Here is a 12,218-nt window from a genome sequence, read left to right as displayed (position 1 = left end):
AAAGGAGGACAAGATGGCAGATGAAATGGCCACTGAGGGCCCAGTGACGTCAGTGGTGGTTTCATCCTCAAAGTTGAAGTCAACCTCAGGCAGCCACCAGGCTTCACATGATCTCTGGGTTACAAGACTATCCCCATACTCTTCTGGGAATACAATAGAAAGCTCTTCTTAGAGTAGGCCTAGTCCCTATAGGTTCCAAATTGAGGCAAGCTAAGCCCACATGTAACAGCCATTACTCTTGGTGTCATGGAAACAAAGGCAAAATTCGCCAAGTAGAAGAAACAAATGAACATTTAAAAATGGAACAGTAGACTGGGCTCAGTGGCTCACGCCTGTAATCCCAGCACTTTGGGATGCCAAGGCAGGCGGATCATGAGGTCTAGAGATTGAGACCATCCTGGCCAACATGATGAAACCCCGTCTCTACTAAAAATACAAAAATTAGCTGGGTTTTGTGGTGCATACCTGTAGTCCCAGCTACTCGGGAGGCTAAGGCAGGAGAATCACTTGAACCCCGGAGGCGGAGGCTGCAGTGAGCTGAGATCGTGCCACTGCACTCCAGCCTGGCAACTGAGCAAGACTCCATCTAAAAAAAAAAAAATGGAGCAGTAATACACAGCCTCCATCCTCTTTCACAGAACCCACAGCAGTAGTCTTTATATCGCCAAAGCACCAATGTTTTTGATGCATGAATTGTTAATAGATGCATAGCTGAATAAATGAATTTTTGTCATCTCTGCTCCTGCAATGCTCAGTGCTTTGGTGGAAAATCTCAGAGGACACCATTGGGAATGTGCTGTACTGAGTTCACTCCCTGGCATTGTTATTGATATACAATCTTCGTGTTGTGAGCCACATGAGCACTTAGATAACATCACAGAAGTGCGTTTTCTAGAATTGCATGCTGCTATAATGAGAAAAGGGAAAAACTGGATTTTTTGACTTCTATTGAAATTGTGATGGCATCGAGGGGAGCTAATCAGGAAGCTGGACTTGCAGGCAGGTTTCAACACATTTGGTAATATATTTGCACTTTCTGCTCAGTCACCTTCAAGTGTCTGGTGTAATTAACCTTGGGCTCTCCTCAATGACACATCAGGAGCATTTCTTGCTAAGGAAGCTGTGGGACCCATCGGCTGGGCATGGCCTTGTCTGGTCAGCACACAAGTGGCTTCATTACGTTTCCTTTCACGAAGGCTGAGTATTAAAGTGACCTCTGACTGACAGTTAAATTGCTTAATTAGAGCCTTTCTTCTAAGTCTTCGATTCATGTAGCTCTGCAAGCTCTTATTGATCTCCTAGAAAGGCTGCTTGTAGCTCAGTGTGAGAGCAGGAAGAGGAAAGTCCGTTCAGCAGCACCAGCTGGCCCCTGGAGATTCCTGACCTCTGCTTCCAGCATCCTCTTTGCTCAGATCATTGGAATGTCTGCTTTGTGAGAATCAGCAAGGAGCAGCTCAAAGCAAGCCGACCATGGTCCAGGTCCTGCCTCTCATTTGGAGGAAAACACAAACGAGGGCTAACAGAGCCTGGTACCAAAAAGCAAAAGCAAAAGCAATATGATTAGTAACTTCTGAAGCTTTTTGTGGCTATCTAGGAGAAAGAAAGAAAAGTGTCTGATGTGATCCGGAAAAAAAAAAAATTCCCTGTGCTCCCACCCAAAGCTGCAATGTCTGTTGTTGTTCCATTATTCGACAATAAAATGCAGGGTGGAACAGGGCAGATACCTAACGCAGCATCCTCTTTTGTTGTATTTTTGTAATACACCACCCATGATGTGTTTCCTTTTAAAACACTGATGGTTTCCAAAGCAGAGCAAACAGACACAGGAATAATAGAACTCTGGGTTTCAAAGAGATGATGGAAACAAGTCTTCTTTAAATATTTACTGTTTTACAAACAAATCCATGACAGAAACCAGTCTCTCTCTCTCCCCTCCTCTTCCTCTCTCCCTCTCTTTTCCTCTCTCTCTCTTTTCCTCTCTCTCTCTCCCTGTCTTTCTGTCCCTCTTTCTTTCCCTCTTCCTCTTGCTCTCTCTCCCTCTCTTCCTCTTTCCCCCTCTCTCTCCCTCTGTCTCTCCTTCTCTCTCTCTCCCTGTCTCTCCTTCTCTCTCTCTCCCTCTGTCTCTCCTTCTCTCTCTCTCCCTCTGTCTCTCCTTCTTTCTCTCTCCGTCTCTCCTTCTCTCTCTTTCTCCCTCCTTCTCTTCTTATCTTTCCCTTTCTTTGTTCCTCTCTCTCCCTCTCCCTTTTTGTCTCTTTCTCTCTCTCCTCCCTGTATCTCTCTCTCACTCTCTCTTTCTTCCCTCCCTCCTTTACGCCCCACCACAGGAATTTTTGTTTCCATCTGATACTTGAGGATGATCTTTTTCAAACGTTTATCTTGTGACTTGCATTTGTATTAACATGCTTAGCTACTTTGCTTCCTGGTGCGGGTGTCTTATTAACAACCAAATGCTGAGCCAGTGCTTTGAATCTGCAAGATGAAGGAAGAGTTGAGTTGAAGCCACAGCTCTCAATCTGTGGACACGGGTTTGGTTTGGCTTGGTTTCCATTTCAGCTCAGACTCTCCTTAAATGTTTATTTGTGAAAGTAAAACGAGCATCTTAGATTTCTTCTCATGTCAACATTTCCAGGAATCTTTGAGTCAGTGCTCGCAACAACTGCAAGTTTTTAGAGTTTATAGTCTCTTGTAAGATGTGAAGACTGAGTGGGAGAGTGTAGAACAAAGAAATAGGGGTGAACGCATCGTGATATGAGATGTGGGGTTGTGAATTGAACTTAGTATTGAATTTCCAAGGAGCGTAACTGGAAAAAAATCACTGACAAAGGAAACTGATGCTTCCTCCTTCCTCAGCCCCAAGAAGAGATGCTATAATGAGTAATATTTTCATTTCCTTCCGCATTCACATTTATGACTGTAACAGCTTGTATAATTTCCTGAGGGATTTCCCTCCCTATCACTTAATGTTTCCTCTATTTTGGAGAAGTTCGTATTCCAAAGTGGCAATTCCATTAGCAGGTATACCGCCATATTATAACATGTGAAAATACCTCATGGACTCTCGATCCTCAAAATCACTTTGCACCTCCATGTGAATTATCTCTCCTGTGCCCTAAATGTCTTATTCTTCACCACATTTTTGCACCCTGCTAAGATCAAAGGCAATCCAGGGCAGGAGACCTGTGTTACCATCTGGAGTTAAAAATGTAGCAAAGCGGGACTGGCACAGTGGCTCATGCCTGTAATCCCAGCACTTTGAAAGGCCAAGGTGGGTGGATCATTTGAGGTCAAGAGTTCAAGACCAGCCTGGCCAACATGGTGAGACCCTGTCTCTACTAAAAATACGAAATGTAGCTGGGTGTACTGGTGCATGCCTGTAATCCCAGCTACTTTGGAGGCTGAGACATGAGAATTGCTTGAACCTGGGAGACAGAGGCTACAGTGAGCCGAGATTGCACCACTGCACTCCATTCTGGGCGACAGAGCGAGACTCTGTCTCAGAAAAAAAAAAATGTAGTAAAGCATAAGGGTCCAGGTGAGAAGGAGGCCACACTAGACCAGAGAATGGCGGTTGGACCAGAGAAGGACAAGGAGGAGCTTTATATCTGAATCCAGGAATAGAATCAAGTTTATGTGGCAACGATAGAAGTTCTGGGTTTATGTATTGACCCCAGACACTGTGCTCTTTGTTACCCATTCTGCTAAGTGAGCCATGCTGGGAATCCCATGCACGTTCACTGGAATGGAATGCAGGACAGATGCCAACCACTTGGAAAGCCACGGGAGCCCAATATAAGACTTTCTCAAATGCTACTGAGGATGCTTGATTGCAGGTTCAGATGCAAAGGATGGGGGACTCCCACCCTATTTCCAGAGCTGCTGTGGTTTTCTTTCTTGGAGACCGTGAATATCTCACTTAGCTTCACAGAATCATGGTCTCTCAACATTCTAACTGAATGAATACAACTTGATTTCACCTTTTCTCTAGGTTTAATCATACTTGGTCGGACGTCAGACAGATGGGGTTTGTATATTGGCTCTGCACTGCTAAGCGTGTGATTGGGCAAGTCATGTATGTTTTCAGAGCTCAGTTTTCCCTGCTGCAAAGTGGAACTGTAAGAATCAAATGTAAACAAATGTATTTAAGTACCTATCAGTGTCTGGTTCAGATAAGTATTTGCTGCTATTCCTAATTTTTCTATTACAATGACTCCTGCTTCTATTACTATTAACGCTATGTTAAAGATCTTAAGGAATCTTTTAAAAAAATTTTCTCCCTGAGCAAGATGAAACTTAGTAAACAAGATAAAAAATCCAGTAGAAAAAAATTCCTCACTTCCTACTTTCCAACAATCTCAGGGAATATATTCCTGTTTTTTTTTTTTTTTTAGAAATAAAAATACAGATATTACTGAGGAAGCTACAATTCATTTCCCCCTCAGTCATGAGGGGTGCAAACGATGACTGACATTTCAGTCAGGTGGTCACGAGCCATTTAATCACCCCAGGGTTTTGATTACAGCAGAGAGGGGCAGCCGCTGAAGTGCTCTGCATCACGTCCACGTCAATCACGTGGTCTTTAGTGCTTAGGCAAAGCATGCGTGATTACTGGTCTTTATTTCGTGCAATTTAAAAATGTATGCTCAGCTTTACTTTAGTATGTGATGTTACATTTTAGAAAGCGCACGCTGTGCACTGAGTTGTTTTGAGACTGAATGGAAGGAAGACACAAATGGAAGGCAGGGGAAATTTCAGGGTGTTGTAGTGGCCTAGGCAAGATGTAATGAGGCCCCACACCAAGACACCAGAGAGGGACATGGATGAAGTAGAGGGAAGGAGCCAAGCGATACATCGGACAAACAGATGTTAGAACATGCTGATCCACTACATGTAGCAGGGATGGGGGCGGTTCCCCAAACGGTCTGGCCGTTGGGTACATGCTTCCGGCATTTACTGTGGCAAGAAATGTAGGTAAGGGAGAAATGAGAGGGACAGGAAGAGGGCTTCAGTTTGAGACACTGATTTTCGGGGTTTGTGGAACATGGAAGAGATGATGTCTACGATACAGTTGTCTATACAAGCCTAGGGCTTAGGGGAGAGGACTGGGGCACAGTTGTAGATATTAGGCAATGAACAGATGCTTTGGAGATCTTAAAACAGAAGCCACGTCCATTAAACTTGATACATTCCTGGCGGCAGCAAGAGGCTAGATTAACTGGCGTTAGTAGCCATCTGGCTTGGGTGCTGCAGTGCTGTTATATGAATAGTGCCCTTTCATGTCTGTATGTAATCACTTATGCGTCCGAGTGATGAAACACTAAAGAACTTTTAATATAGATTTTATTTTTAAACCTTACATGCTCCTCATATTAAATTTGTAGAATACAGAAAAGAAGAAATAAGAAATTATTGCCATCCTTAGTATTACAATATAGATACAAGCTATTGAAATTTTGGTTTATTTCCCTCACAAACACACACATACAAATATATACACGCACTCATGTACACACAAACATGCATAGTTAAGATAATATTATATATAATTTTGTATCTTGCCTTTTTCACTTCATATTATTTGAAATTTTCTTAAATAGTTTCTTTGGCTAGTCAATGAAATGGACGTGCTGTAATTCAGTTAGCCACGCTTTATTATTAACCATTTGGATTATTAATGGGTTTTTTCTTTTCTTGTTATAACAATGCTATGAGGAGTATCTTTATATGTGAATCTTAGTACATTTCCTATTATTTCCTTTATATAGCTTTTCTTTTCTTTATTGAACACTCTACTATGAAATATTTTAAGTATGTAGAGAAATACCGACTATATAATGCATACAAAGTATATAACATACAAAAACTTCTCCCTGTCCAGACTGGCCAAATCTTCATATTTTGCCACATTTGCTTCAAGTTCTTTTGTTTTCTCCCAAACAGAAATGAACTGTTCAAGACACAGGTGAAGTCCCACATGCTCCTATCATTGATCCCATGCCCTGTTCCCCGTCCCAGAGGAAACTGCTAATGAGATTTCTGGTTTGTGATTCCCATGAAGGTTTTTATAGTTTTTTCATTATATGCATATATCCATACACACTATGAAATATTATTTTGCATATTTTAAGACTTTATGTACATCATGTCACACGCTACATATCCTTCTTCAACTTGCTCTATTCACTCATTATTCTGTTTTTCACATTTTCTGCATTGTAATGCATACAGATCTAATGCATTCTTTTAGTCACTACACATTCTATTTTATATATGCACCACAAGTCATTTGCCCATTCTCCTGTTAATGAACATTTAAGTTGCTTGCAATATTTTTCCTTAGCAACTTTTTGTACCGAATATTCTTGAAGCAATATCTGTATGTAACCACCTAAGACTTTCTCTAGTGTAAACCTGCAGAAGTGGAATTGCTAGCTTTTAACTTTTCTGTATGTTAAATTTCGTTAGAAATTTATATATGAGGCCGGGCACAGTGGCTCATGCCTGTAATCCCAGCACTTTGGGAGGCTGAGGTGGATGGATTGCTTGAGGTCAGGAGTTCGAAAATAGCCTGGCCAACATGGAGAAAACCTGTCCCTACTACAAATACAAAAAATTAGCTGGGCGTGGTGGTGTGTACCTGTAATCCCAGCTGCTTGGGAGGCTGAGGCAGGAGAATCACTTGAACCTGGAAGGCAGAGGTTGCAGTGAGCACCACTGCACTCCAACCTGGGTGACAGAGTGAGACTCTGTCTCAAAAAAAAAAAAAAAAGAAAAAAAAGAAAAGAAAAGAAAAAAGAAATGTATATATGAGAATTTCTGGAACGAAATGAGAAAAACTTACCTTCATACTTGTAATCAGTTTCCACAAAACTTTCAATACATTGTCTTATTTGATCTTTACAATAACCTTATGAGGCTGCAAGGGGAGTTTACCTACCCTCATTTTTAGATGAGGTCTCTGAGGTGGTTACTGCAAAGAGCAGTACAGCATGTGACTTGAATACAGCACTGGACAGCCTCATTCTTCGGAAGCCTTTGTTCTTCATTCCACACCCGCAGACTTACCCCAGAACTTACCAGCTTAAGACAACAACATTTACAGTTTCCGTGGGTCAGGAAGCCAGGTGCCACTCACCTGCATGCTTCCTGGCTCACTCATGTGAATGTACACAGGGTTCAGTTCCTTGCAGGCTGTTGGCTGAGGCCTCCCTTGACTCCCTGCCACACAGGCCTCTCCACGGAGTATCTCAGAACACGGCACCTTGCTCACCAGGGCAAGCAATAGAGAGGACAAGAGAGAGTCCAACAAGACAGAAAGTGCTAGCAAGAGGGCAGGAACCATCTTTTCTCACCTCATTATGGAGGTGACAGACTATCACTTCCATTGTATTCTGTTAATTAGAACCAATCACGAGGTCTATCCCATACGCCAGGGAGGAGATTACACAGAGGCATGAATACCAGGACGTGGGGCTCACTGAGAGCTGGGTCAGAAGTTGCCTACCACCCCCCACCCCTACAATCTCCAGTTGGAAAATTTTCACTTCTTATCTCTCCCACTCCTACCTACCCATATTTCTGGACAACCCCCACCCCACCCCTTGGTTCTCTTTTCTTTTTTGCCTCCATAGCTTTCTAATTCCCTACTTCATTTCTTACACAGCAATTTAGCTCCCACTTTGTCTCACTTTGATACTAGAGGCTAACATCTATCACATGCTTACTACATGCCAGCCACTCTCCTAAGTATTGTATCTTTTAACTTATTCTTGTGAACAGTATGAGCTATATATTCATATTAATCCAATTTTGCAGATTAAGAAATTTAGCAACAGATGAGAAAGCAAAGAGAAGGGGGCAACTTGTCCCCAACAACATAAAATAACACCTCCCCTACTATACTCATGTTCTGAGAGCCTATGAAGATATTTTCGTCAATAAAGATTGCTTTTCCGGCCGGGCGCCATGGCTCACGCCTGTAATCCCAGCACTTTGGGAGGCTGAGGCGGGCGGATCACGAGGTCAGGAGATGGAGACCATCCTGGCTAACACGGTGAAACCTTGTCTCTACTGAAAATACAAAAAAATTAGCCAGGCGTAGTGGCGGGCGCCTGTAGTCCCAGCTACTCAGGAGGCTGAGGCAGGAGAATGGCGTGAACCCGGGAGGCGGAGGTTGCAGTGAGTCGAGATCCCGCCACTGCACTCCAGCCTGGGCCACAGAGCGAGACTCCGTCTCAAAAAAAAAAAAAAAAAAAAAAAAAGGGATTGCTTTTCCCTCTAAAAGGAATCCTGCCACCAACTTTTAAATAATGCAACATGCTTTTAAATAATGCTTATTTATAAGACAAAGGTGTGTATGAGAATTAAAAAGTTCCCTTTGCTTGGCTTCTTTATTTTCCCACATTACCGTTCTTTAGAACTATGATCACAGGCCTCCAGAACTAGAAATGCCACCAGGAAGGGATGTTGGTCTCACACTTGAATGGTTTTCCTCCTGTGTCACTTGACATGTGACAAAGTTGAACACATGTTAACTTTAGAAATGATGGACATTTATGCAAATCTCCTCAAGGTATCGAAGCATCAGGTATGAAAATTAAGGCCGGGCACTGTGGCTCATGCCTATAATCCCAGCACTTTGGGAGGCTGAGGTGGCAGGATCGCTTGAGCCAGGAGTTCCACACTAGGCAATACAGCAAAATCCCCTCTCTACAAAACATTTAAAAATTAGCCAAGTGTGGTGGTGCACACCTGTAGTCCCAGCTATTTGGGAGGCTGAGGTGGGAGGATCCCTTGAGCCCAGGAGGTCAAGGCTGCAGTGAGCTGTCACACCACTGTATGCCAGCCTGGGTGACAGGGTAAGACCCTGACTACAAAAATAACAATTATAATACTAATTAAAAGAAATTTCATAAATGTTTGGCTTAGTTCTCACTTCTGGCTAGAGCTGAGGATGTGGAGGGGACTTGATAGCACCATAATATATCATGTGTTCAGAATACTCTGGGCCTTGGGGACGGGTCCAATGTCCTCTGCCCACATTCTGCCTCTGCCTTCTCTCACCCTGTTGGTGAAGGGCCCCTGGGAGCGGAGTGCATGACATTGGCTGTGCCCTGTGGTTGGGCCCCTTCATTCTCCTTCAGACCTGGCATATAGGAAGCCTGCCCAGAAAGCAGCCGAGCTGACCTCCGTCCCCCTGTGACTAACCTCTTACCCACAATTGTGTCTACTATGTGTTTACAGCATTGAATCTATGAGGGCAAGGACAGCTGTTTCTTAACTCAGGGTTTTCCTCAACCCTAGTTCTCAATTTTTAGAGACCAGCAACTGTCATACATATTCATTTATTCATTTGTTCATCAAACATTTATTGCCTGTATGTGCCAGGTTCTGTACTTTTTAAAAAGTCTCCTATTTTTATATAATAAAGTTAAGCTTTTTGTTTTTGTGGGGGTTTTTTGTTTGTTTTGTTTTGAGATGGAGTCTTATTCTGTCACCCAGGCTGGAGTACAGTGGCACCATCTCCACTCATTGTAGCCTCTGCCTCCTGGGTTCAAGCAATTCTCGTGCCTCAGCCTCCCAGGTAGCTGGGATTACAGGCACACGTCACTACGCCTGGCTAATTTTTGTATTTTTAATAGAGATGGGGTTTCACCATGTTGGCCAGACTGGTCTCAAACTCCTGACCTCAGGTGATCCACCTGCCTCGGTCTCCCAAAGTGCTGGGATTACAGGCGTGAGCCACTGCACCCGGCCTCATATGTATTTTGAATATGTGTGTTAGTATCTTGGCATTTTATAAAATTCTGGATATTTTACAAAAAGACTGGTCAACTTTTCTGTAGAAATTAAATGACCACTCCATTAGATCTGCCTCTGTTTTAAGAGCTTCGGCAGTTAGAATTCTCTGGGGGACAGTGGCCACTTTTTATTTTGTGGCTTCAACTTCAAATTTTTATTTTATTACTATCATCTAGAAATGAATTAGTTGACATGTACAAAGTTTTATTTTGTTTGTATATTGCCCTGACTTTTACCACTTAAGTAACGATCAGAAAATCAATGCTGAGGCCTAGCAAACTCTTGGCAGTAGACTTAAGTAAGAATTATATGTTATATTAATATATGTGTATCCAATAGTAATATCATTTGCTAGCTTTGCCTTGGGAACTAAATGGAAGTTAAGGTGAAATTCATATCGATAATTTTTATGACTTTAGAATTGTAAATGAATGGGAGCAAGGTTTCTCATATTTTCTTCCTTGAAGTGCTTTTCTTGTGGAATTTTATAAATTGAAACTTTAAATGTGAGTTGTTTTTTGTCTTTTTTTTTTTTTGAGACGGAGTTTTGCTCTTGTTGCCCAGGCTGGAGTGCAGTGGCACTATCTCAGCTCACCACAACCTCTGCCTCCTGGGTTCAAGTGATTCTCCTGCCTCAGCCTCCTGAGTAGCTGGGATTACAGGCATGTGCCACTACATCTGGCTAATTTTGTATTTTTAGTAGAGATGGAGCTTCTCCATGCTGGTCAGGCTGGTCTTGAACTCCCGACTTCAGGTGATCTGCCCACCTCAGCTTCCCAAAGTCTGGGATTACAGGCGTGAACCACCACACGAAGCCTGAGAATAATGATTTGATATTATAAGTGTTAAAAACACTCAAATGAAAGAATTTATATTTCAAAATCTGTTAAAAATATTCTCCCTCCTTGATAGCCTGAGGTTTCAAAATTTCATAAAATGACAATTAGGTACATAAAACTTAATAACTATAATGCTACGGTTTGAATGTGTCCCCTCCAAGTTCATGTGCTGGAAGCTTAATACCTCCTCTAGTGTCAGGAGGTATGGCCTTTGGGTGGTGTTCAGGTACTGAAAGCCTTGCCATCATGAATGGATTAATGTTGCTATAAAAAGGGCTTGCAACAACAGGTTCTCTCTCTTCTGCACTTCTGCCACTTGGTGACATGATGTTCCTCCCCACAAGAGGATGCACCATTCAAGGTACCACCTTGAAGCAGAGAGACCCGGCTGTAACTTGCTGGCAGCTTGTTCTTGGACTTCCCAGCCTTCTGAACTGTTAGAAATAAATTTCTGCTCTTTATAAATCACCTGGCCTCAGGTATTCTATGGTATCACAAAGAAGCAGACTGAGGTGTGTCATGAGCATTTTAAAGAGAAGTAACATGGTAAATCTAGAATTTGGAGAGAGAAGACGCTGCTACTCACTAGTGATGTGAACTTGGATGACTTACTAGCCTACATTGAATGAGACAGTAGTTTAATAGCTTAGCACTTGCCTCCCTGTCTTTATTTTTATAGAAAATCACACAGGTTAGGATGTTTGTGATGGAGCTTGTAAAATTATAACATGCTCATCACATTTGGGGTGTCATTGGTATATAATTTGAATTCCGGGACACATGAAAACCTTCTTTTTATTGAGATGGAGTCTCACTCTGTCACCCATGATGGAGTGCAGTGGTGCAATCGCAGCTCACTGCAACCTCTGCCTCCTGGGTTGAAGCAAATCTCATGCCTCAGCCTCCTGAGTAGCTGGGATTACAGGTGCCCACCACCATGCCTGGCTAATTGTTTTTTGTATTTTTAGTAGAGACATGGTTTTGTCATGTTGGCCAGGCTGGTCTTGAGAAAACCTTCTATTTTTGATCCATTCCTTGTGAAGTATTACTTCAGCCAGATGAATTTTAGCAGAGGTCTTGTAATTCCAGGACCTCAGGGGCTGGGGGTAGGGGAAATAGCTGGGAAGTCTGTAAAGCTTCTAGGTGTGCCCCTTTCAAAGGACCCCCAAGGAAATGGGTGATTCGGGTGATTTTCTGAAGATTTCAGCCTTAATATTTTAGTTTACTTTTGTTCCCCTTATTTCCTCTTGTCCCTTGAGAGGATTCCAACCACTCAGACTGAAAACAAGGACTGTGAGAGGGAAGAAACAATATGTACTTATTCCTTGGACCTTTGAATTTCGGAGAAAATTTTTTTAAAACCAGAAGAGTCTTATTTTGTGAGTCCATGGACTTGCAAAATCTTAGAGTTTTTTCTTTTTTTTTTTTTTGAGAAGTCTATAAACACCATAGAACCCATTGTTCCACTAGTTTAAAAAATTAAGAAATGCTAGACACTTAGGTTGATTCCATATTTTGGCTATTGTGACTAGTGCTTCAGTTAACAAGGAAATGCAGATATATTCAACATACTTATTTAAT

The 12,218-nt window shown here is 42.3% G+C and overlaps 1 protein-coding gene across 5 annotated transcripts in view, besides 1 other annotated feature; it reads left to right on the top strand.

The window, feature by feature from the left end:
* Window positions 1-12,218, top strand: part of CUBN (cubilin) — a 305,846-nt gene that overhangs the window by 159,849 nt on the left and 133,779 nt on the right. The gene's annotated exons all lie outside the window — the stretch shown is intronic.
* Window positions 1,010-1,573: an enhancer, noted in NCBI's record as "OCT4-NANOG hESC enhancer chr10:17010389-17010952 (GRCh37/hg19 assembly coordinates)". NCBI's record gives its function as "activates a minimal SCP1, AML or CMV promoter by ChIP-STARR-seq in primed H9 embryonic stem cells {active_cell/tissue: H9 hESC(primed)}" and the evidence as "EXISTENCE:reporter gene assay evidence [ECO:0000049][PMID:30033119]".

This window comes from Homo sapiens, chromosome 10 (genome assembly GCF_000001405.40).
Source record: "Homo sapiens chromosome 10, GRCh38.p14 Primary Assembly".
Taxonomy (NCBI): Eukaryota; Metazoa; Chordata; class Mammalia; order Primates; family Hominidae; genus Homo; species Homo sapiens.
This window is presented reverse-complemented; position numbering and strand designations above follow the sequence as displayed.